The sequence below is a fragment of the Homo sapiens genome, chromosome 19 (assembly GCF_000001405.40).
Source record: "Homo sapiens chromosome 19, GRCh38.p14 Primary Assembly".
In the NCBI taxonomy this organism is placed as follows: Eukaryota; Metazoa; Chordata; class Mammalia; order Primates; family Hominidae; genus Homo; species Homo sapiens.
This window is the reverse complement of record NC_000019.10, coordinates 1,205,736-1,227,561: the sequence shown is the minus strand read 5'-3', so window position 1 is coordinate 1,227,561 and position 21,826 is coordinate 1,205,736. Positions and strand designations below refer to the sequence as shown.

General features: G+C 62.1%; 1 protein-coding gene across 3 annotated transcripts in view, besides 17 other annotated features; it reads right to left on the bottom strand.

Annotated features, from left to right (window-relative positions):
* STK11 (serine/threonine kinase 11) overlaps positions 1-21,784 on the bottom strand; it is a 22,654-nt gene extending 870 nt beyond the window's left edge. Inside the window, exons 1-10 of one of the 3 annotated variants that reach the window (NR_176325.1) lie at positions 20,359-21,784; positions 11,164-11,294; positions 9,062-9,145; positions 8,149-8,238; positions 7,057-7,189; positions 6,845-6,981; positions 6,222-6,349; positions 5,556-5,613; positions 4,390-4,577; positions 899-1,108 (exon numbers count right to left, since the gene is read on the bottom strand). Coding sequence is in view for 2 of the 3 variants with exons in the window: in NM_000455.5 (NP_000446.1) it covers positions 915-1,108; positions 4,390-4,577; positions 5,556-5,613; positions 6,222-6,349; positions 6,845-6,981; positions 7,057-7,189; positions 8,149-8,238; positions 9,062-9,145; positions 20,359-20,648 (1,302 nt within the window). In the remaining variant the exon portion in view is untranslated. Of the gene's footprint in view, positions 1-898; positions 1,109-3,686; positions 3,925-4,389; positions 4,578-5,555; positions 5,614-6,221; positions 6,350-6,844; positions 6,982-7,056; positions 7,190-8,148; positions 8,239-9,061; positions 9,146-11,163; positions 11,295-20,358 lie in introns of those variants that run through there. The other 2 variants (NM_000455.5, NM_001407255.1) reach the window with 2 other exon arrangements.
* Positions 4,307-4,516: an enhancer, noted in NCBI's record as "active region_13597". NCBI's record gives its function as "activates an Ori minimal core promoter by ATAC-STARR-seq in GM12878 lymphoblastoid cells {active_cell/tissue: GM12878}" and the evidence as "EXISTENCE:reporter gene assay evidence [ECO:0000049][PMID:35858748]".
* Positions 7,718-8,031: a mobile genetic element, noted in NCBI's record as "direction; reverse".
* Positions 7,765-8,011: a non allelic homologous recombination region, noted in NCBI's record as "recombines with the serine/threonine kinase 11 intron 1 Alu-mediated recombination region". NCBI's record gives the evidence for it as "EXISTENCE:nucleotide sequencing assay evidence [ECO:0000219][PMID:25841653, PMID:20435009, PMID:22775437, PMID:21118512, PMID:20623358]".
* Positions 9,218-9,512: an enhancer, noted in NCBI's record as "tiled region #9448; K562 Activating DNase unmatched - State 25:Art". NCBI's record gives its function as "activates a minimal TATA promoter and a strong SV40 promoter by Sharpr-MPRA in K562 cells {active_cell/tissue: K562}" and the evidence as "EXISTENCE:reporter gene assay evidence [ECO:0000049][PMID:27701403]".
* Positions 13,389-13,578: an enhancer, noted in NCBI's record as "active region_13596". NCBI's record gives its function as "activates an Ori minimal core promoter by ATAC-STARR-seq in GM12878 lymphoblastoid cells {active_cell/tissue: GM12878}" and the evidence as "EXISTENCE:reporter gene assay evidence [ECO:0000049][PMID:35858748]".
* Positions 13,889-13,938: an enhancer, noted in NCBI's record as "active region_13595". NCBI's record gives its function as "activates an Ori minimal core promoter by ATAC-STARR-seq in GM12878 lymphoblastoid cells {active_cell/tissue: GM12878}" and the evidence as "EXISTENCE:reporter gene assay evidence [ECO:0000049][PMID:35858748]".
* Positions 14,267-14,571: a mobile genetic element, noted in NCBI's record as "direction; reverse".
* Positions 14,267-14,991: a biological region, named in NCBI's record as "serine/threonine kinase 11 intron 1 Alu-mediated recombination region". NCBI's record gives its function as "recombination_partner: LOC110006318".
* Positions 14,314-14,766: a non allelic homologous recombination region, noted in NCBI's record as "recombines with the serine/threonine kinase 11 intron 3 Alu-mediated recombination region". NCBI's record gives the evidence for it as "EXISTENCE:nucleotide sequencing assay evidence [ECO:0000219][PMID:25841653, PMID:20435009, PMID:22775437, PMID:21118512, PMID:20623358]".
* Positions 14,583-14,707: a mobile genetic element, noted in NCBI's record as "direction; reverse".
* Positions 14,719-14,991: a mobile genetic element, noted in NCBI's record as "direction; reverse".
* Positions 15,793-16,579: an enhancer, noted in NCBI's record as "H3K4me1 hESC enhancer chr19:1210982-1211768 (GRCh37/hg19 assembly coordinates)". NCBI's record gives its function as "activates a minimal SCP1, AML or CMV promoter by ChIP-STARR-seq in primed H9 embryonic stem cells {active_cell/tissue: H9 hESC(primed)}" and the evidence as "EXISTENCE:reporter gene assay evidence [ECO:0000049][PMID:30033119]".
* Positions 18,006-18,691: an enhancer, noted in NCBI's record as "H3K4me1 hESC enhancer chr19:1208870-1209555 (GRCh37/hg19 assembly coordinates)". NCBI's record gives its function as "activates a minimal SCP1, AML or CMV promoter by ChIP-STARR-seq in primed H9 embryonic stem cells {active_cell/tissue: H9 hESC(primed)}" and the evidence as "EXISTENCE:reporter gene assay evidence [ECO:0000049][PMID:30033119]".
* Positions 19,262-19,351: an enhancer, noted in NCBI's record as "active region_13594". NCBI's record gives its function as "activates an Ori minimal core promoter by ATAC-STARR-seq in GM12878 lymphoblastoid cells {active_cell/tissue: GM12878}" and the evidence as "EXISTENCE:reporter gene assay evidence [ECO:0000049][PMID:35858748]".
* Positions 19,718-20,012: a silencer, noted in NCBI's record as "tiled region #13808; K562 Repressive DNase unmatched - State 1:Tss". NCBI's record gives its function as "represses a minimal TATA promoter and a strong SV40 promoter by Sharpr-MPRA in K562 cells {active_cell/tissue: K562}" and the evidence as "EXISTENCE:reporter gene assay evidence [ECO:0000049][PMID:27701403]".
* Positions 21,587-21,726: a silencer, noted in NCBI's record as "silent region_9670". NCBI's record gives its function as "represses an Ori minimal core promoter by ATAC-STARR-seq in GM12878 lymphoblastoid cells {active_cell/tissue: GM12878}" and the evidence as "EXISTENCE:reporter gene assay evidence [ECO:0000049][PMID:35858748]".
* Positions 21,757-21,826: a silencer, noted in NCBI's record as "silent region_9669". NCBI's record gives its function as "represses an Ori minimal core promoter by ATAC-STARR-seq in GM12878 lymphoblastoid cells {active_cell/tissue: GM12878}" and the evidence as "EXISTENCE:reporter gene assay evidence [ECO:0000049][PMID:35858748]".

The following is a 21,826-nucleotide window of genomic DNA, read 5'->3' as shown; positions in this document are numbered from 1 at the left end:
GCCTGGGCACCGGTTCTCCGCCTCCCGCGGGCCCCTGGGAGGATGGAGAAGCTGAGGTACAGTCATGGGGCTACCGGACTCCTGGGGGGCAGCAGGGGAGGCCAGGGAAGGCCACCCTTGAGTCACTCCCGGGGTACATTGTGTGGCCTTTTGCAGTGGGGCCTGGCGGGCTCTGACGCTGGTGGATGGGCTGTGGGCACCCATTTGGGGGACAGACATGTAACTCAGGCGGTGGCCCCCAAAACCTGGGAGAGGGGCTGTGGCAAGGCAGGGGCTTCAGCCTCGGGCCCCCATCCACCCCGCATCCTCGGCAGGTGACTTAAGGGTCTCTGACACCTCTGGGACTCCGTCTCCCACCCGGGGCTGGGGCTGGGGCTGGGAGAGGAGGCAGGCACACAGGGAGAGACAGGGCAGCGTCCGGCACGACTCAGCCTCAGCCATACTTGGCAGCTGGCTCAGAGCCTGCGGCACCCCGGCAGAGCCATGGAGGCCGCGGCCCCTCCCCACCACCCACCACCCACTGGTGCTCAAAAGCCTCTGGGCTGAGCCCAGCATAAGCCTTTCCTGGAAGCGGCGCGGGCATGGGGAGGGGGCGCCAGGCCCAGGGCAGGGTCCTCGGAATGCACCCACTCTGAGAGGTGGCTGTGAGGACGGCACGCCCCCCCAGAGCCCCGCCACACGTAGGCCTCCATGACCAGCACGCTGGCCAGACACCAGGCCCCGAGACGGCACCCTCCACGGGGATCGCTACGTGGCCAAGCCACCCAAAGGCCACATGGCAACCACGCGCAGCCACGTGACGGTCACCATGACTGACTAGCGCGGGCTATGCTCACGGCTGGCTGTGGCATCCAGGCGTTGTCCCCACATGCCCCACCCGGGCCCCGCCGCGCCCCACCTGCAGGCGGCCAGCCTCACTGCTGCTTGCAGGCCGACAGCCGGCGGATCTTGCTGCTGGCGGAGCAGGCCTTGCGGGCAGGGTTGGGGGCCCGGCCCTCCGCCCTGGATTTGGTGCTCAGCTGCGCCGCCTCTGTGCCGTTCATACACACGGCCTTGGGGAGGCCCCGGCGCTGTCCATTGTGACTGGCCTCCTCTTCTGGGACCTGTCCTGGGAGGGAGACGGCAAGTGTGGCCTGAGCTGAGGGGCGCAACCCCAGAGCCACAGGGACCTGGCTGGCCCCCACCACGGGGACGCACTTACAGCTGCTGCCCAGGCCATGCCCGCCCCCGGGTCAGGCCCAGGTGTATCCAGCCTGAAATGCTGCCCCCCAGCAGCTCTGGGAGGCACCCCCCGGGGCTGAGCCTCCCGCAGATGGCCTGGGCAGGAGTGTCCCCTCCACCACGTCTGTTGCACCTGCCATGGCCGCAGGTGGGACCCCACCCAGGTACTGACTGCAGGAACCTCACGAGTAGGAGGCAAGCTGACAAGGCAGGACCCTCCCGTGCTCCCCTGGGGCACCCTGGCCCATGGTTGGTTCTAGAGGCCCAGGAGCCGCCACATGCTCATCTGTGAGGACACAGGAGGGCCAGGCTCGGGCCAGGCTCAGGCCAGGCACGCGAAATGCCAGCACAGAACCACGCGGGGAGCAGAGCTCAGCCTGCCAGGGCCCCCAGCTGCCCCCAGTCCCTGCTAGCCACCAACCATCACCAGCACCCTGGTGAAACCCACAGGCCTGGGGCTGCCCACCCTGCCCAGGTGGACACTGTTCTCACAATGGCAGGGGAAAGTGCAGGAAGCTGCCCACGTACTGTCCCTGCGAGGAGCCGTGGTGGTTGGCGAGGACTCCGCGAACACACTGGCTGCCGAGCCATCCCCGAGGCCCCTCCCGGGCGAAGTCAGTGGGAGGCCGCCCCGGGCTGCCCCAGAGCTCATGTGCCCAGTGCAGAGCCCCAGCTCCGAGAATGGACCAGTGGCTGACTCAGCAGCTTCCAGAACTTGCCACACACCCACCCCATGTGCACAGGAAGTCACTAGCTTTAAAAAAGCACCTTGGGCCGGTCGCGGTGGCTCACGCTTGTAATCCCAGCACTTTGGGAGGCCGAGGTGGGCAGATCATGAGGTTAGGAGTTTGAGACCAGCCTGACCAACATGGTGAAACCCCCGTCTCTACTAAACATACAAAAATTAGCCGGGCATGCTGGCGCGCACTTGTAATCCCAGCTACTCAGGAGGCTGAGGCAGAATTGCTTGAATCCGGGAGGTGGAGGTTGCAGTGAGCCGAGATCGCACCACAGCACTCCAGCCTGGGCGACAGAGCAAGACTCTGTCTCCAAAAAAAAAAAAAGATAAAAAAGACCTTGGTGAGGAGGCACCAATTGCACCCATAGGTCTGAGCTTGGGCCCAGCCCGTCTCTGGTGGGGCAGACCCTGTGGACAAGGTGCCCCAGCTCTGCATCAGCGGGCACAGCCGCCACTGGGCCCTTGCCCCACCCCACACTCCTGTCTGCACTGGTGCCCAGGATCTAGCCCAAGCCCCTTCCCTGGGATCTGGGTGTTGGCAGCAGGACCCGCATCCTGGGTAGGGACACGTGAGGCCAAAGTGGAGGCACGCAGAGGCCGATGCAGCAGCCCCGGCAGAGCGCAGAGGATGGCCTGACCCGAGGGCGCCGGGCTGTCCTGCCCCAACGCAAGGGGGCTCTGCAGGTCAGGGACGGGGCTCACGCTGAAGCCTGAAGTTGAGCCTGTCCCCAGCATCTGAGCAGTGGGAGGGGCGTCCACCTGAGTACCCAGTACTGAGTACTGAGGCCTCAGCCATGCCGAGTGGTCTGGCGGCCCTTCCCCCTGCTGGGTACTCCTCCTCACCACCCACAGTGGGCTTAGCAGGGTCATGAAAAAGGTGGCCCAGCCCCTGCTCTCCTCCCAGGCACCTCACCCCAGGGCAGCCCAGGTCTCACACAGGCCTGAGGGTCCCCAGGAGGGAAGCCAGTGCCGGGTCCTGGCTCAGGGATCCTGGCCTGCAGGGGCGGCCGTGGGGGTCAGCGTGTGGTCCACGTCCCAGTAGGGACTCTCGCAACCTGCCTGGGCTGGCCCTGCCCTAACTGGCCCTCCTGCCTGGGATTTGCCTGGCTGCCCGTCTCAGGGCACCAGGGCTCTGAAAGGCAGAAGACCCTGGGCCTGGGGTCAAATTGCAGCCAGGCCCCAAGGATGGGCACCATGAGGGGCCCCCACCTCCCAGCACACCCTAGTGACCAGGGTACCCAGCAGCACCTCCCGTTCCAACAGACCAGACGCGATGGTCGTGGTGCTGCAAATCCAAGAGCCCAGGAGCTGAGACCCTGTGATCCTGGGGGCCCCACACACGCTGTACCCTCCTGGGGGGCCCCCACATGCTGCATCCTCCTGGGGGGCCCCCAGACACTGTACCCCCCGGGGACCCCCATACACTGTGCTCTCGGGGGCCCCCACACTGTACTCTCCTGGGGACCAGCTACTGAGCTGAGCCTAGGGGTTTGATGAGGGGCCCAGGAGTGCTGAGGGACCTAATGGGGGGCTCTCTGCAGGGCCCCCACTATTCTGGGACCCTCGGGCCCGGGGGTGGACCCTGTGCACTGGGTCCTCACATCCCAACCTGCCTGGCGTACCCCCCTTCTCAGGCCGGCCCCTGCCCACCACTTCCCGCTGAAACAGTAAAGCAGAAAGCCCCCTCAGGCTCCAGCCCGAGCGCAGCAAGCATCCACCCTGCAGATACACTGCAAAACTCTTTATGACACGGCCCAGCCCTGGGCCGAACACAGCCAAGCCGGGAGCATGGCGGGGAGGGGCTGGCTGCCAATGTGGGCCGCCCCTACGCTAAGGCCCTGAGCTCCTCCTCAGGCACTACTGCGGCGCCGGCCGAGAGGCTTCCTCTCCTGAAAGGTCTGAGCCCTCGCTCTTCTGCAAGCCGCGCTCCGCTCTAAGCCCTGCCTCAGACGCCTCCTCGCCACCTAGGGAAGAAGGGCGGCCGGCATCAGGGCCAGCGGGCAGGCCTCAGGGACGACGGGAGGGAGGGCCACTGGACCCTCTCTCATGCCAGCTGTCTGAGGGGCCACCCTGCACCCTGACTCTCACCTACCCTCCCCCGACCCTGGGGCTCCCCCGCCTGCTCCTGCTGGGACTCAGGCCAAGGCCGGTGGGTGGTGCCTGGCTGGGCAGCACCCGGAGAGACGCCTGAGGAACCCTCCTGGCCAGACAGGCCTGGGCTGGTGCCCCCGCTGACCCCACACCTTTCAGCCATGTCCCAGCGGCCCGCAGGGCGGAGGCAGCCTGCAGGTGGGCTGGAGGCTTTGGGGACGTGGGATTGGCCACCAGAGGGCAGAAGCTGTCCTTGTTGCAGACAGGCAGGCACCCTGCTCCCGTGGGACATCCTGGCCGAGTCAGCAGAGCCGGGCAGGGGCCCCCGCCAGACTCACCGGGCACCGTGAAGTCCTGAGTGTAGATGATGTCATCCTCGATGTCGAAGAGGTCCTCGTCCTCGTCCGCGCCGTGCAGGTCCTCCAAGTACGGCACCACAGTCATGCTGCGCCACCGGTCCTTGGTGTCTGGGCTCGGTGGGATGGGCACTGGTGCTTCAGCCGGAGGATGTTTCTTCCGGAACCAGCTGCAAACGCCCAGAAGCAGTGGCGCCTGTCAGGCTGGCACCAGGGCGGTCCAGTTTTCCGACCCAGCTCCTCTGGGCCCAGGGTACCTGCCACACACTCAGGAGCTGGGACCAGGCCGTGCAAGGGGTGGCTGTGACCACAGAAGCTCAGCCATGTCCTCTAGGAGCAGGCAGGCTGACCTGACTCCAAGCCTGACAGATGTCCCCTCCACCCTGAGGCCTGTGTCCCAGGTGGCACTCAGAAGCCAGCACCCACCAGATGGATGCTGGCTGCAAAGCCAGCAAAGGCCAGAAGGGGGTCTGGGGGGCCCTGAGCACATCCCAGCCCAGGAGGCTATCGGGGGGCAGCCCCAGTCCCCGCCAGGCGCCCAGATGACCCGAGCTGTGCAGAGACCCCCAAGGCACAATCAGCACCAGCGCCTCAGGGGTCCGGACACTCCCACTCCCAGAGCCGGTCTCAGTGGGTGGCCTCGGGGCTCGGAGGGGCTCCAGCAGACGGCTCAAGGGCCTCCAGGGGCTGGTGCAGAGGAGCAGAGCCCACGAAGTGAGGGAGGCGGCACTGTGGGGCCTGCTGACCCCGTCCGCTGCTCTGTCTTCCCTGTCATGGAGCTGGGGGCCCTGGGCTGGATCCCAGCCACACCCTGCTGCTGGGAGCCCCAGGAGGAGGGGAAAAAGAGAGGCTCTCGCCAGTGTTTGGGACCAGCTGTGCCCTTCCTGGCGCATCTCCATGCCTAGGGCAGGGACGGACGCATGTCCTCACTCAGACCCCAGTTCGGACAAGGCGCCTGGGTCTGGCCGGTAACAGGACACTGCCCAGAGACCCCACTCGGGCCCCGAGAACTGCGGGCGCTGCACGGGGTCTGGCCCCAGCCCAGCCTGGCACCCCCACCACGCCCTGCTCTAGCGCCCGCTCAACCAGCTGCCCACATGGCCGGCCTCCCTGCAGCCTCGGCCCCACTGCCCCCAGGGGCCGCTCACCTGTGCTGCCGGATCTGCCGGATGGAGAACCTCTTGGCCGGTTCGTACTCAAGCATCCCTGAGGAGAAGCCGGCGAGGAGCCTGTCAGCTGGGCACAGGCCTGAGACCCCACCAACCGTCCCCGCCTGCCCAGCCTCTGTTGTCAGGCCCTGGGTGATACCTGGACGCTCCTAAGGGGGACCCCGCGCACAGGCGGTCTCCCTGACAGAGGCCACTCCACTCCTGGGACATGCCGGGGACAGCCTGTGCGCGGCTGGCAGGGAGACAGGGCTGGGCTGGACGGCCAGGGCGGTTCCGTTCTCCCAAGGCCACTGGGCAGATGGACGGACGGCCAGTGCCACCTGCTGCCATGCGTAGGAAGTGCAGCAGGACAACCCTGACAGACCCTGCAAGCCAGGGAGCCCCCGAGGGTGGGGCTGGGGGAGGCGCAGGGCAGCACTGCCCTCTGGGGTGGGAGTTCGGAGGGTGAACAGGGCCCAGAAGCAGGGTGGAGCTGAGGGACCTGGCAAACCAGGCCCTGCGGGGAGGTCGGCCTCTCCACTCAGTCCTCTCAATGCCTGCTGGGGTCTCGGGGCCAATAGCCCCCCACCTGACACCCCCAACCCTACATTTCTGCACAAAAGCCCCGCCTCCCTGGGGCTGCGGGCAGAGGGATGAGGCTCCCACCTTTCAGCAGGTCAGAGAGCGGGGGGCCACAGTCGCCCGGGATGGCGTAGCTCCCCTTCCCGATGTTCTCAAACAACTTGTAGATGTTGTCCCCTTCGAAGGGGTACAGACCCGTGGTGATGTTGTAGCTTCATTTCGAGGGGAGGGAAGAAAGGCGTGGTCAGTCAAGGTGGTTGACGCCCTAGGAGCCCCAGCTCTACCCCAGGGACAGAGGCGTCCCGTGGCTGCTGGACCAGAGGCCCTGTGGACTCAAGGACACCTCTGTCTTCACCACCTTCCACTAGTGGAGGCTACGGGGTAGGAGGGGAGTGTCCTCTGGACCCACCCGGGGAAGGGGCCTGGAGCTGCTGTCACCCGCCCAGCTTCCCTGTGGGGCTCTGGGAGGAGGGTCGGCCGTGCCACTCTGTGAAGATCCCTGACGGGCCAGGCTGCACTTCACACGGGTGAACCACCATCTGCCGTATGAGTTACATTTCCATAAAGTAAGCACCCCCTAGCGGCTGTGGCCAGAGAGGGTCTGGGCCGGTGGCCACGCCCTGCGCCCACAGGCCGGCAGCTGCCCAAGACGCAGAGGCCCCTCGGAGTGTGCGTGTGGTGAGTGCCCGGGGGGGCGGGGCACTTACAGGGTGACCCCAGCCGACCAGATGTCCACCTTGAAGCCGGAGAAGGTGTCCAGGCCGTTGGCAATCTCGGGCGGCTGGAAAGCCGGGGAGCCCTGGCTGGTCCGGCAGGTGTCGTCCGCCGCGAACGGGTGCAGTGCCTGTGGCGGTGCCGTGCAGCCCTCAGGGAGTGCCCGGGAGGGGGCGCCCCAGGGCCCCCCCTAGCACGTGCCTACCTCGGCCACGCCCAGGTCGGAGATTTTGAGGGTGCCACCGGTGGTGAGCAGCAGGTTCCCCGGCTTGATGTCCTTGTGCACAATGCCCTGGCTATGCAGGTACTCCAGGCCGTCAATCAGCTGACAGAAGTACCTGCGGGCAGCACACACCCGTCCTGGGGCCGAGGCCTCCCTGCCCCTCACAGGGGTCCCCTTTGCAGCTGCCTGGGAGCCTCCCAAACACCACAGGCCCAGCTGGGAAGTCACAGAAGTCCAGGCACACAGGACAGAGGAAAGGCTAGGTCCAGCAGGGAGCCACACCTGCGCCTGCAGTGGCCACCCTCGTCCGGCCGAGCCACGTCTGGCAGGGCCCCGGATGTCCACAGGTCTCATTTTCCTGTGGGCCACAGGCCGGCTGCACCCCAAAGTCTTGCTGGAACAGCAGGCCCCTCCCTGCCCCTGTGGTCCTGCAGCAGCAAGGGGCCCTGACTCTGAGGCCACAGACCTGCATCCAGGAGATCTGGTCAGGGCAGGCGGCTGCCAGCGATGGGCTGGAAGCAGGCCACTGGCCTCAGGCAGCAGGCCCAGCAAAGATGGAGGCGGGAGGTTGGCAGCAGCCCTGCCTGTGGATGCCACACATGGGGGACCCCAAAACTGTTTTTAAAAACTTGGGCCTTTACAAGGCCGGGCGTGGTAGCTCATGCCTGTAATCCCAGCACTTTGGGAGGCTGAGGCAGGCGGATCACGAGGTCAGGAGTTTGAGACCATCCTGGCTAACACGGTGAAACCCCGTCTCTACTAAAAATACAAAAAATTAGCCGGGCGTGGTGGCGGGCGCCTGTAATCCCAGCTACTCGGGAAGCTGAGGCAGAAGAATGGCGTGAACCTCGGAGGCGGAGCTTGCAGTGAGCCGAGATCGCACCATTGCACTCCAGCCTGGGCGACAGAGTGAGACTCCATCTCGAAAAAAAACACAAAAAAACAAAAAAACAAAAAAACTTGGGCCTTCATGTCAATGAATATCAGGACAAGCAGTGTGGCCTCACGGAAAGGAGCCTGCCCTGCCTGGCCCCCGGCCCCCGCCCCACCCTGGCCCCTGCCCCGCGCACGCACCCGTGGGCCTGGCACACTGGGAAACGCTTCTCCGGCACGCTGTCCAGCATTTCCTGCATGCCACACACGCAGTACTCCATCACCATATACGTGGGGCGCTAAGGACACACAGCTCAGGGGGCGGCCCCACTCACAGGCCCAGGGAGCACGGGGGCCAGAAAAGGGGCTCTGGAGGGACCCTCTGCACCCACCTTGCCCCTCCTCGGGACCAGGGCCCACCCTGCCCTCAGCCACCCCTCTGAAAAGGCCCAGGGGCCCCAGCGTCCCAGGAGGAAGGAGCCTACGGGGAAGGGGAGGACAGGGCTGACTCTTGGGGCAGCGTTCCTGCGGGGCTCACGTCCCCCACCCTGCCCATGGGCGGGGGATGGTGCCTCCTGGACGCCCCCCCAAGCAGGCTCGGGCCCATGCAGGACGGTCCCAGGGCCCCTGACCGCGTGGCTCAGGGAACACAGCCCCAGCCTCAGGACCACTTCTGGCTCTTGCTCTGGGCACAGGGCCTTAGGAAGCAAAGTCCCCGTAGGGAGGCTGTGCCCGTAAGACCCATGGGGGTGTCCACAGATGACACGAGGACACGCCCAGCCACGACCAAAATGGCCCACAACGGTCAGCCCGCGTGGCCTGTCTCAGGCAGACCGTGGCTACACCCCTGGTTAGCCTGGGAGGAGACTCTGAGAAAAAAGGGACTTGACACCCCACGGGCCCAAGACACAGGGGCCAGGGCTCAGGGCCCCTTTCAGCAAGCTGCGCAGCCATTGCCACAATGGCTGACTTCCGGGGAACCAGGGAAGGCCACGGCCCTCGTGTGCCAGTCTCCTTCAAGGAGACGGGAAGAGGAGCAGGCCTCGAGGCAGGCGGACCCAGGGCCCCAGCCCCTCCCACGGAGGCCCCGCGGTCCCAACACCGGAAAGGATATATTTTCTGCTTCTCTTCGTTGTATAACACATCCACCAGCTGGATGACATTTTTGTGCCGTAACCTCCTCAGTAGTTGAATTTCCCTGGGACAGAGAGGACAGGGGTGTATCAGCCGACCCAACGTCAGGATGATGGCCTGGATCCCTGGAGTCGGCCTCCCCATCTCCCTGTGGAAGTGGCGTACCTCCTCCCTTCCCTAGAGAGAAGCTGTGAGTTCACAGTGCTGTGGGAAAGGGCCCTGCAGGGGCCACGCGTCCAGGCTCAGGGCGGTAGGGGGTGGGAGCACAGCGCCCTCTAGTCTGTCATCGGCCGGCGAGGGCTTTGGAGGACACAGTTAGGACACTTTTTTTTTTTTCTGAGACAGAGTCTTGCTCTGTCCCTAGGCTGGAGCACGGTGGCCCGATCTCAGCTCACTGCAACCTCTGCCTCCCAGGTTCAAGTGATTTCCCTGCCTCAGCCTCCCGAGTAGCTGGGACTACAGGCACGTGTCACCACAGCCGGCTAATTTTTTTGTATTTTAGTACAGACAGGGTTTCACCATGTTGGCCAGGATGGTCTCGATCTCCTGACCTTGTGATCCGCCCGCCTCGGCCTCCCAAAGGACACTCTTAATTGAGCTTTGTAACTCAGTAACAGTTTTGCTTCCTAGAAACCAGACTACTGCAATGGTAGCACAGATGGAGCCCAGACTGTGGCAGGAGCCAGGGTGAGTTGGAGCCCTGGTGATGGCTCCGTCACACAGTACAGTCCCACGCAGCCAAGGGCTCCCAACTCCGAGGGTCCCACTCCTTGGAGGGTGGGCCGCAGGTGAGCTGGAAGGATGGCCCATAGGAAGGGGCAGGCGAAGAAGGAGACGCCACAGAAAGAGACATTGTGGGGTCCTGCCACACCCACCCGCCTGTCACTGCCCCCTCTGCAGCTGCCGCCCAGTTGGCCACGCCCACCTGCCTGTCACAAGGGTGGGGCACAACAGGCCAGAGAGCACAGCCCCCTCTGCAGCTGCCGCCCTGTCGCAGACACTTCATTTCTCCCAGCACTATAGGAGGCCGAGGCGGGTGGATCACCTGAGCTCAGGAGTTCGAGACCAGCCTGAGCAACACGGCGAAACCCTGTCTCTACTAAAAATACAAAAATTAGCCAGGTGTGGAGGTACGTGCCTCAAGTCCTAGCTACTCGGGAGGCTCAGGTGGGAGGATCACTTGAGCCTGTAGTTACCTGTGATCGTGCTACTGCACTCCAGCCTGGACAACAGAATAAGACCCTGTCTCATAAAAGAAAAAATTAAACAAAAACAAAAATGACGAGGAGCAAGGTCCTCACACCCAGTGGGTGGGCGTGGAAGCGTCTGCAGCTTCTCCAAAGGTCTGTTACCCTGTGAGCCAGCAGCTCCACTCCCAGGTACACACCCTGAGGAACAGTACACGCCACGCAGAAACGGAGCACGAGATGCTCACAGCAGCAGGACGCACAGCAGCCGAGATGTGGAACCACCCAGGGGCCCTTCCACAGACGAGGATCAGCACAGCCCATCCACGCACTCAACAAGACTCAGCCACAAAAACCAGTGAGGCTCTGACTCGAGCCACAGCCTAGCTGCACCTTGAGGATGTCACAGTGAGACACTAAAGGACACACAGTGTGTGATGCACTTTTTTTTTTTTTTTTGAGACAGGGTTTCCCTGTCGCCCAGGCTGGAGTGCACCTCCCAGGCTCAAGCGATCCTCCCATCTCAGCCCCGCAAGTAGCTGGGACTACAGACGTGTGCTACCATGCCCAGCTAATTTTTGTATTTTAGTAGAGACAGTTTCACCGTGCTGCCCAGGCTGGTCTCGTTTGAACTACTAGGCTCAAGTCATCTGCCCACCTCGGCCTCGGAAAACGCTGGGATGACAGGATCCCATTTCTTGTTTTTTTTTTTTTGGAGACGGAGTCTCACTCTGTCGCCAGGCCAGAGTGCAATGGCATGATCTCAGCTCACTGCAACCTCTGCCTCCCGGGTTCAAGCGATTTCTCCTGACTCAGCCCCTGAGTCGCTGGGACTACAGGTGCCCGCAACCACGCCCAGCTAATTTTTGTATTTTTAGTAGAGATGGGGTTTCACCATGTTGGCCAGGATGGTCTGGATCTCTTGCTCTCGTGAGTCACCGCGCCCGGCCGACAGGATCCCATTTCTATGCAATATCCAGGACAAGCCAATCCAGAGCCAGGAAGTGGATTCAGAGTGGCCAGGAGCTGGTGGAGGGGATGGAGAGTGACACAATGGGAATGGGGCTTGCTTTTGGGGTGACCGAACGTTCTGGAATTAGAAGTAGTGGTTGCACAGCCGTGTGAATGTACTTAATGCCACTGAATTGTACACTGTGAACGAATGAGTTGTACAGTATGTAAATTCCATCTCCATAGTTTTTTTTTTCTTTTTTAATTCTTAACAGGAAGCCCAAGCATGGAGCATAAAAAACAGCTGGGGGGCCAGGCGCGGTGACTCACGCCTGTAATCCCGACACTATGGGAGGCCGAGGTGGATCACCTGAGGTCAGGAGTTCGAAACCAGCCTGGCCAACATGGTGAAACCTTGTCTCTACTAAAAATACAAAAATTAGCCGGGCGTGGTGATGGGCGCCTGTAATCCCAGCTACTCAGGAGGCTGAGGCAGGAGAATCGCTTGAACCTGGGAGGCGGAGGTTGCAGAGAGTCGAGATCTCACCACTGCACTCCAGCCTGGGTGACAGAGCAAGACTCCATCTCAAAAAAAAAACTTGGGGTGTCAGGGGTATCCCACGACCCAGCCTTCCCCACCCCCAGCTCAGGGCTGCCTCTTGCAGGAAGCCTTGGCTCACCTTTCCCTCCCAGTGCACCAGTCCCAGGGCTCATTGCTCACTGCCCTCAGGGCAACCTCAGAAGGCCAAGGCCTGAGCTCTGCCAGGGCTGCAGGCTGTGCTGGGGCTGGGCCTGGACAAGGGGCCGCCAGTCTGGGGAGGGGCTAGGAGAGCAGGATGAAGGGAAAGCAAGGTGTGATGGGGACGGGGCACAGAGGGACACAGTCCCCCAGAAGCGGAGCCAGTGAGCAACTGGTTCCGGCCCCTGGCTGTGCCCGGTGCCCTGTCGGGCTGCCCAGCCCTGAAAGCGTCCCCCACTTCCACTGGTCACCGCAGGCCTGGTCTGCTCGCTGAGAAGCCCTGTGTTTCCGTTCTCTCTGGGCTATGTGGTGGTGGCACCAATTCCCAGCAGGGCCCGGCAAGGTTATTTATAGAACTGGCCAGGGCCTGTGTCCACAGCCTGGCAGGCACCCAGGGCATTGAGGGGGACGCTGAGGGTGAGGCTGGGCTCGGCAAAGGCCCCGGGGCCCAGCGCCTTCCTGCCTGCCAGGCTGCTCAGGAGAGCTCGGGGTGGGCCCGAGAGGCCCGGCTCAGCCCCAGATCCCCTTGTTCCCCAGGGCTCTGTGTGCCCCTAACCTCCCCCGCTGATGAAGGTCACAGGCCATTCCTGGGAGGCAAGACTTGCCTTCTATTCAGAGGAGATGCGGTGGCCGGGGGGCGGGGAAGGTGCTGTTTTCAGACAGCAGAGGCCAGATGCTCGGACGCACAGGCCCCAAGAGCCTGATGCTCCACCAGGAGGCGAAAGCACCCCCTCCCTCAGCAGGAGCCGGCTACCGGCAGGGAAGGTGGCCCAGGACACTATTCCAGCCTCCTCAGTGGAGCTGAGGGAGCCACGGGCCTTCAGGTCCAGCACCGCTCTGGCCCACCTCCTGCTGCCTGTGCAGGGACCACCCCACACCCACCCAGGCTCCAGCACAGTCCTAACCCTGAGGAGGGGCAGTGAGGCCAGGAGCTCAACCTGCATGCAGCCTCAGAGCCTCGTGGGGGCCGCTCGGGAGGCTGCACGGCCCTAAAAGCAAATGAGGGTGGAGGACTCCCTCCTGGAAACCTCCCTGCGCCGGCCACCACCTGCCGACACCATGTCTCCTCCATGAGCCATCATTCTACAGATGGGGAAACGGGCACAGGAGGACTCGCCCTCACCGAAGGCGCCCTGCCCTGCCTCCACCTCAACGGGGACACTTCACAGCAGCAGGACACACAGCAGCTGAAACGTGGAAGAGCCCAGGCACTCCTGAGCAGGTCAGCATAGACCAAGGGACACTGGGTTGTCTGTTTAATTAAAAGGGACCAAGGCATTCTGCGCAGGCACGTGCGTCCCCCGATTTATGCCAGGGGAGGAGTGGGGGTGGAGCCACCCCCGCCTGGTGGCAGTCACCTCCGGGATGATGGGTGCACATCAGCTTCTCTAGATCGCCAGGCTTCCTCTGACGTCTCCAGCCAGAAAAAGAGCAGAAGAGGAGGCCCAGCGAAACCTAAGAGCTTGGCGAGGAACAGGAAGAGCCTCCAGGAGGGGGAAGCCCGGCTCTTGGGGCATCGCCAGCCGCTCCGAGGTGCCACGTTAGGGGCCTACTGGGCTTGCCCAGGCAGCATGGACTGTTTAGCTGACTTGTTGATTAGCAGGACAGGAAATAGGAAGGAGAGTCATAAACGCCACTCAAGCTCACAGAGAGGTGGGGCTAGGAGCCTCCGTCTGCCTAGAAACAGATCATACAGGGAAGAGATGGGCCTGGCCCTCGCCCCGGCCTCCCACGGCTCAGAGCAGGACTGGGAGGCACATGGAGACCCAGGAACACCCAGCTCCAGACCCGCGTGCCCTGGTCCCTGAATCCCTCCTGATGTGGCTGAAACAAGGCCCTCAAGGATTCTAGAGGGACGCCGGCTGAGCACACGTGCACCAAAGCAGCCACAATTCACAGGCAGAGGCGGGAGCAGCCCAAGTGTCCAGCCACAGATGAGCAGTCAAACGCAGCGTGGCCCTCCACACACTGGAAAGTGACGCAGCCGTGAACAGCAGAGAGGTTCGGACCCAGGCCACGGCGCGGATGCCCCTTGAGGACAGCACACTCCGTGAGACAAGCCGGACGCAAAAGGCCACGCGGTGTGTGACACCACTCGTGTGAAATGTTCAGGACAGGCCAATCCAGAGGCAGGAAGGGAATGCGTGGGTGCCGGGACTGGGGAGGGAATGGGGAGTGATGGCTGACAGAGACGGGGTTTCCTTCTGGGGTAACAAGAATGTTCTGGAAGCTGATAGAGGTGATAGTTGTGCAACTCTGTCAATGTACTATATGCCACTGAATTACACACTTTAAAAAGGTGAACTTTGCCGGGTGCGGTGGCTCACACCTGTAACCCCAGCACTTTGGGAGGCCGAGGCAGGCAGATCACGAGGTCAGGAGATCGAGACCATCCTGGCTAACACAGTGAAACCCCATCTCTACTAAAAATACAAAAAAATTAGCCGGGCATGGTGGCAGGCGCCTGTAGTCCCAGCTATTCGGGAGGCTGAGGCAGGAGAATGGTGTGAACCCGGGAGGCAGAGCTTGCAGTGAGCCAAGATCACGCCACTGCACTCCAGCCTGGGTGACAGAGCGAGACTCCATCTCAAAAAAAAAAAAAAAAAAAAAAAAGGTGAACTTTAGGCCCAGTACTATGGCTTACACCTGTAATCCCAGCACTTTGGGAGGCCAGAGAGGATTACTTAAGGTCAGGGGTTCAAGACCAGCCTGGGCAACACAGCAAGCCCTTGTCTCTATAAAATAAAAAATAAAAAGGTGGGCCGGGCACAGTGACTCAAGCCTGTAATCCCAGGACTTTGGGAGGCCGAGGCGGGCGGATCACAAGGTCAGGAGATCGAGACCATACTGGCTAACACGGTGAAACCCCGTCTCTACTAAAAATACAAAAACAAAATTAGCCAGGCTTGGTGGCAGGCACCTGTAGTTCCAGCTTACTTGGGAGGCTGAAGCGGAGCTTGCAGTGAGCCAAGATCGTGCCACAGCACTCCAGCCTGGGGGACAGAGCGAGACTCCGTCTCAAAAATAAATAAATAAGTAAATAAAGGTGAACGTGGCGAAGCAGTGGCTCATACCTGTAATCCCAGCACTCTGGGAGGCCCAGGCAGGCGGATAGCTTGAGTCTAGGAGTTTGAGACCAGCCTGGACAACATGGCGAAACCCCATCTCTACAAAAAACTAGTCGGGTGTGGTGGTGCACATCTGCAGTCCCAGCTACCTTGGGGGCAGGAGGGTCACCTGAGCCCAGAGCTATGATTGCGCCACTGCACTCCAGCCTCGGCGATACAGTGAGACCCTGTCTCCAAAAAAAAAAAAAAAAAAAAAAAAAAAGGTGTTAAGAAAATTGAGTCCAGTTTGAGCAATACGGTGGCGTTTGTGGGATATACGGGCCGTCCAGCCGCCTCACTGATTCCCCGACAGCTACAGCAGCGCCCCAGATCCTGAGAGAGGAACCAACATTCCAGGCCTGCCCCAGCTGGCTGGGCACCGGAAGCCCACTGTGTGCACAGCCCAGAACCCCCAGTGGACCCATTACCCCCGCTGTTCTGCGGCTGCCCAGCCCCTGAGCTCCCTCTGGGTCTCAGAGCTCTCCCTCCCGCTGCCCAGAGAGGGGCACAAACAGAGGCCTCGAGGACACCCAGGCCTCACATGGCTGGCGCAGGGGCCTCAGCAGATGCTGGAACCCCATAAAGGCCGCCTGGGATGTAAAGACCTACAAAGTCCAGGACTGACTCCCAGCTCGCGAAAATCCTCTTTACCATAGGTCCAAGCATCTGCCAATCATCGCCGCAACCAGGCACACTGAGTGCCGCCCACCTCCCACCTCCTGGCTGGACACCGCGGGGGCGGTGCGGATGGGAGAGCCACAGCCCGGATCTGGGCCCGTTTCCTACGGCAGCAGTGATTTTCACATTTCCAAACAGGTAGAAAGAAAAGATACGAAAGCACAGTGTTTTGCAACAGGTGGAAGTGACAGGAAAGGGCAGGGCCGTGGGACACCGCCAGGCTGTGCGCTCACGGCAGCCCTGGGTGCCTCTGCGGAGGCTCCACAAGGCGGGCAGACTCCCTGCCTTCGAGCCCACTCTCACTGGGGTGGAAAGGGGGAGGGAGGCATGGCGGCCTTCTGCCTGCACCCCCCCCCCCAGAACCCCACTGTGGGCTCCGCAGCAGCAGCTAGCCGTGCTGTCCCCCGAGAAGCACGGGGAGTCGGGCTGGGCACAGGCGACCCTTTCCAGCCCTTCCCTGCTCCACCCTAGGAACCCACTGCCTACCAGAAACAGCCTATGGCACTGATTTTATTTTAATTAATTGTTTTTTTGAGACACAATTTCGCTCTTCTCTCCTAGGCTTGCCCAGCCTGGAATGCAATGATGCGATCTCGGCTCACCGCAACCTCCGCCTCCCAGGTTCAAGCGATTCTCCTTGCTTCAGCTTCCCCAGTAGCTGGACTACAGGCGCGCGCCACCACGCCTGGCTAATTTTTGTATTTGTAGTAGAGACGGAGTTTCGCCATATTGGCCAGGCTGGTCTTGAACTCCTGACCTCAGATGAAGTAGCTGGGATTATTGGCATGTGCCACCACACCTGGCTAGTTTTTCTATTTTTAGTAGAGAGAGGGTTTCACCATGTTGGCCACGCTGGTCTCAAACTTCTGACCTTGTGATCAAACCGCCTCGGCCTCCCAAAGTGCTGGGATTACAGGCGTGAGCCACCACGCCCGGCCCCAGCCCTTTTTTTTTTCGAGACGGAGTTTCACTCTTGTTACCCAGGCTGGAGTGCAATGGCATGGTCTTGGCTCACCGCAACCTCTGCTTCCCGGGTTCAAGTGATTCTCCTGCCTCAGCCTCCAGAGTAGCTGGGATTACAGGCGTGCGCCACCACACTCAGCTAATTTTGTATTTTTAGTAGAGACAGGGTTTCACCATGTTGGTCAGGCTAACTCCCAACCTCGGGTGATCCACCCGCCTTGGCCTCCCAAAGTGCTGGGATTACAGGCATGACCGAACATGCCCAGCCCTCTTTTTAACTCATTGATGCTTTTTGGAACTTTCCTATTTCTAATAAGATTATACTTTTTGCCGGTGAGAGCGGGACAAGGCATGGACTCCAGGGCTGCCTTTCTGGGAAGGAAGGGAAGAGACGGGACTCACGCCGGCTCCATCTGCCCCAACCCACCCCCCTTGGTGATCGCCCACGCTTTCCACACCAACTGGAGGACCGGACGCCTGAGGCTTGTCTGGAAGGTTCCAGACACTCGCTGCGAGACACAATCTGAGCGGAGTTTATTAAACTTCCCACACACAAAGGAGGCTTTTTCCCTGCAGCGCTGGCAGCAAGGCTGGCCAAGGCCTTGGGCCTCAGGGCTGGGCAGTGGACACCCCTTCTCCTTGACAGCACTCTGCACATGGCAGCCTCCAGTCAGAACACACCAGCTCCCAGAATAGGAGGACCCCCTGGCAGCACCCAGGGGGCTGGAGGAAATGCAGTGGCTCCTGAATCACAGCTGTAAGCGGGGCAGCTCCTGATGGCAGACAGTGACCAGGAAGGGACAGGGCTCACCCCTCATCCCAGGGGGCCCCGCAAGGGCAAAGCCGTTACACACTCAGGGCCAGGATGAAATTGGACGCTGAACACTAGTGAGGGTGCATCACTCACTTCAAGGCAGTGGGGTCAAGCTGTGGGTAGCTGCGACGCACAGTCCAGTCCAGGTCCTGCCAACCCCTCTGCCTCCCTGCCTCCGTGTTCCCTCCCGTTCTCCCAGGCACTGGGCCAGACTAGGTTCCTGCAACCTTCTTGCCTGTCTCCACCAAGACCCTCAGGCTCTGCCCTACCGTTCAGGTGCTCACCTGAGCTCCCAGGACCTCCTCCACTGACTGTTCAGGAAAGCAGGGGGCTCACTCTCACAGTCAGGCTTCCACCCTCCAGCGTCTGTCTTCCCATTGACCCTGCATATACATTTGTCAAAACTCAAGCCAGATTTATTTATTTATTTATTTATTTATTTATTTATTTATTTATTTTTGAGACAGAGTCTCGCTGTGTCGCCCAGGCTGGAGCGCAATGGTGCGATCTCGGGTCACCGCAAGCTCCGCCTCCCAGGCTCCAGCAATGTTCTGCCTCAGCCTCCCGAGTAGCTGGGATTACAGGCACACGCCACCACACTCGGCTAACTTTTGTATTTTTAGTAGAGATGGGGTTTCACCATGTTGGCCAGGCTGGTCTCGAACTCCTGACCTCAGGCGATCCACCCACCTCAGCCTCCCAAAGTGCTGGGATTACAGGCGTGAGCCACCGCGCCCGGCCCCTAAGCGTGGGTTTCTCACTGCTGGGAGAGAGACTGTCACTGGCCCCTTTAGAGGGCACCTGCTACCCCCAGCACAGGCTCTGCCTAGCCCCTGACCAACCCATCTCACAGAGACCAGGCACAGGCTCTGCCTAGCCCCTGACCAACCCATCTCACAGAGACCAGGCACAGGCAACTGCTCCACTGACTCAAGGCACTGGCCACACCTTCTACCCGGGTCCAGACTGGGCACTGAGACATCAGAAAGGCCTCGTGGAAACACACCCTTCCCAGCCGCTCCCATTTAACCCTGACTGCTCCAGCTCCAGAGTACAAACTTCAGAGCCTGTGCCCCTGGTTTCCGCATGTCACAGCCTGCATGCTGATTAAGAAGCGTGCTGGCCGGGCGCGGTGGCTCACGCCTTTAATCCCAGCACTTTGGGAGGCTGAGGCAGGTGGATCACGAGGTCAGAAGTTCAAGACCAACCTGGCCAAGATGGTGAAACCCCGTCTCTACTAAAAAAAAAAAAAAAAAATTAGCTGGGCACTGTGGCAGGCACCTGTAATCCCAGCTACTCGGGAGGCTGAGGCACGAGAATCACTTGAACCCAGGGGGCGGAGATTGCAGTGAGCCAAGACCACTCCACTGCACTCCAGCCTGAGCAACAAGAGTGAAACTCCGTCTCAAAAAAAAAAAAAAAAAAAAAAAAAAAGGCCGCACGCGTTGACTCACGCCTGTAGTACCAGCACTTTGGGAGGCCGAGGCGGGCGGATCACGAGGTCAGGAGATTGAGACCATCCTGGCTAACACGGTGAAACCCCGTCTCTACTGAAAAATACAAAAAATTGGCCGGGCGTGGTGGCGGGTGCCTGTAGTCCCAGCTACTCGGGAGGCTGAGGCAGGAGAATGGCATGAACCCGGGAGGCGGAGCTTGCAGTGAGCCCAGTTCGCGCCACTGCACTCCAGCCTGGGGAACAGAGCGAGACTCCGTCTCAAAAAAAAAAAAAAAAAAATGTACGTGAGCCCCAGGGCCCCTGAGCAGGAGAGAGGTGAGAGCAGACACGGCAGGAGCCCCAGGGCCCCTGAGCAGGAGGAAGGTGAGAGCAGACACCGCAGCAGCCCCTCCCCGGACCTCCTTCCAAGGTCATGGTGCCCTGCGCAGGGTGTCCTTGCCAGTCCCTCGAGGCCTAGCCCAGCAGATAAGGTCCTTTCTTGGAAACAGGAGGCAAAGTTTTGAAAGTTAAGAAGGCTGGGAAAGGAGCAGGGCCTGGGCAGGGCCCGCCAGGCGGCGGCAGGTGCAGCGTGTCTGGCTGCGATAAGGCAGGGACACCCCCGGCCACCCCCACCAGCTGGGAGAGGCTCAGGCCGGCCAGTGCTGCCCTAGGTAGGAGCTTCTCCGCGCACAGATGCAGAGGCGTCCGGGATGCCCAGCGGCAGCCCCGTGCCTGAAGAAGTCAGTTGGAAAAGTAAGGTCTTCCGGATGCAATTCGGGAGGGAGGCACAGTCCCCCTCGGGCAGGGCTTCCAGCCCCGGGGGCCAGGGATGCTTCCAGCGTCACATCCCTGGCAAATGAGGAAAGGCTACGTTTCCCTCCTGCTGACTGATAAGCCGGTGCAAACAGTTATTTTTGGCAGCCCAGGGTTCCCCTCTGACAGGATAAACAAATCACATTTCGCCTGGCCCCGGTAACGGCCACACACTGCGCAGAAAACGTGTTGGCGGCCGCACACAAACTCTCGGGGCCCAAACAAACACAGGCTGATTCCACTGGGCGCCTCTGCTCCTTGGACAGCTGGGGGAGCCAAGGGGCTAGTCTTAGGGGATTGGGGGCCGCTCCCTTCTCAGGAGGGTTTCGCTACCAGGGCATTTTAACTGGAGTCCAAGAGCCCATGCAAACGCACGCCCCGCTGCGACAACTGGCCTTGCCTGAGTGAAAGTCCGTAACGCAGGCCCCCAACCACGCTCTCCCTGGCACGGAGGACACAGGCGCCAGACGGGTCCAGCTCAGGGTGTTAAGAGGAAGTAAGGGAGGGAGGGAGGAGAGAAGGAAGGAAGACAGAACCATCAGCACCGTGACTGGCCCGGCCCGGCCCCGACCCCAGCAAGCCATACTTACTTCTTCACGTTGGCCTCCCCGTTGGGGATCCTTCGCAACTTCTTCTTCTTGAGGATCTTGACGGCCCTCCTGCACAGCGTCTCCGAGTCCAGCACCTCCTTCACCTTGCCGTAAGAGCCTTCCCCCAGCAGGTCCCCCATCAGGTACTTGCCGATGAGCTTGGCCCGCTTGCGGCGCGGCTGGTAGATGACCTCGGTGGAGTCGATGCGGTGGATGAACGTGTCCATACCCACCGACATCAGCTCGCCCTCCGTGAACATGCCCAGCTGCTGCGGGTCCACCACCTCCATGCTGGACCCAGGGTCCTGGAGTCCCGCCGCCAGCCCTGAGTCCGCGGGTGAGCGGTCCTTCCTTGTGTTCCGACTTCCCTTCTCCAAAATTTTACAAAGAAAAAAGAAAAAAAAAAGGCAACAAAAACCCCAAAAGGAAGGGAAAAACCCTTCTTCCAACAGAAACGATTGTTCTACACGTCAGTCCCGGCTGCGAGTCCAAGCCCGGTGCAGGGTCTGCGGACCGGCGGGCACCGGGGGTCCGGGACGGCGGCTCAGACGCGAGTTCCAGTGGGACCCGGGCCTCAGAACTGGGAGACGGCCCGGTCAGGGTCAACTTCGTCCTCGGGGACCCTGGGGAGGCCGGCCGGGGCTTTTCAGTGCTAGGTCATCCTCCGGGGACCTCAGGCCCACGGACAAGTATGAACACGGCCGAGCGCAGTCTTCTCCGGGCCGCCCATCCCACAGGCCGGGTCCGCGACGTCGCTACCCCCCGGGACCCCCACACCTGGAGAGCCCAACTTCGCTGGGGGCGTCTCCGGCGACGCCCCGGTCCCACCGCCTGTCCCAGGAGCAAACGCTCCGCCGCGGACGACCGAGCGGACCTCCCGGGGGGCGCCGACTCCCGCCGGCCCGGGCGAGCGTTCGGGGGGCTGGGGGCGTCCGGGAGGCCTCCCGCCGCGGCCAACAGCTCCGCTCAGGGCTGGTCGCTGCCCGGCGCCCGCGAGGGCCCGCACTGGGCGCCCCCCGAGCCGGCCCGCGACCCCCAAGGTGGTCGCCGGGGCCCGGCAGGCGCCCCCCTCCCCGCAAACGTCTGCCCGAGCGCGCGCCCCGCCCCGAGTGCCCTCAGCGTCCGGTCCGCGGGGCGGCGCGGCGGCGGGGGCTCCACGGGGCTCCCGGCGGCCGAGGCGGCGCAGGCCGCAGGCTCCGGGCCGGGGGGTTCCCGAAGGTGCCGGGCCCCGGGCGGCGCGTCCCCCTCGCCGCGGCCGCCGCGCGTGTGGAGGAGGCGGAGCGGCGAGGGGGGCCCAGCCCATCCAAGGCCGCGGCAGCAAGTGCCGCCACCCGCGCTCCCTTCGCCGCCCCGCGCCTCACTCGCGGGCGCCCCGGGCCGCCTCCCCCTTCCGCGCCCGACACGCCGCCGCCATCTTGTTTACCTCCCTCCCCCTCCCTGCGCCGCCGCGGACACCGCACGCCCGGCC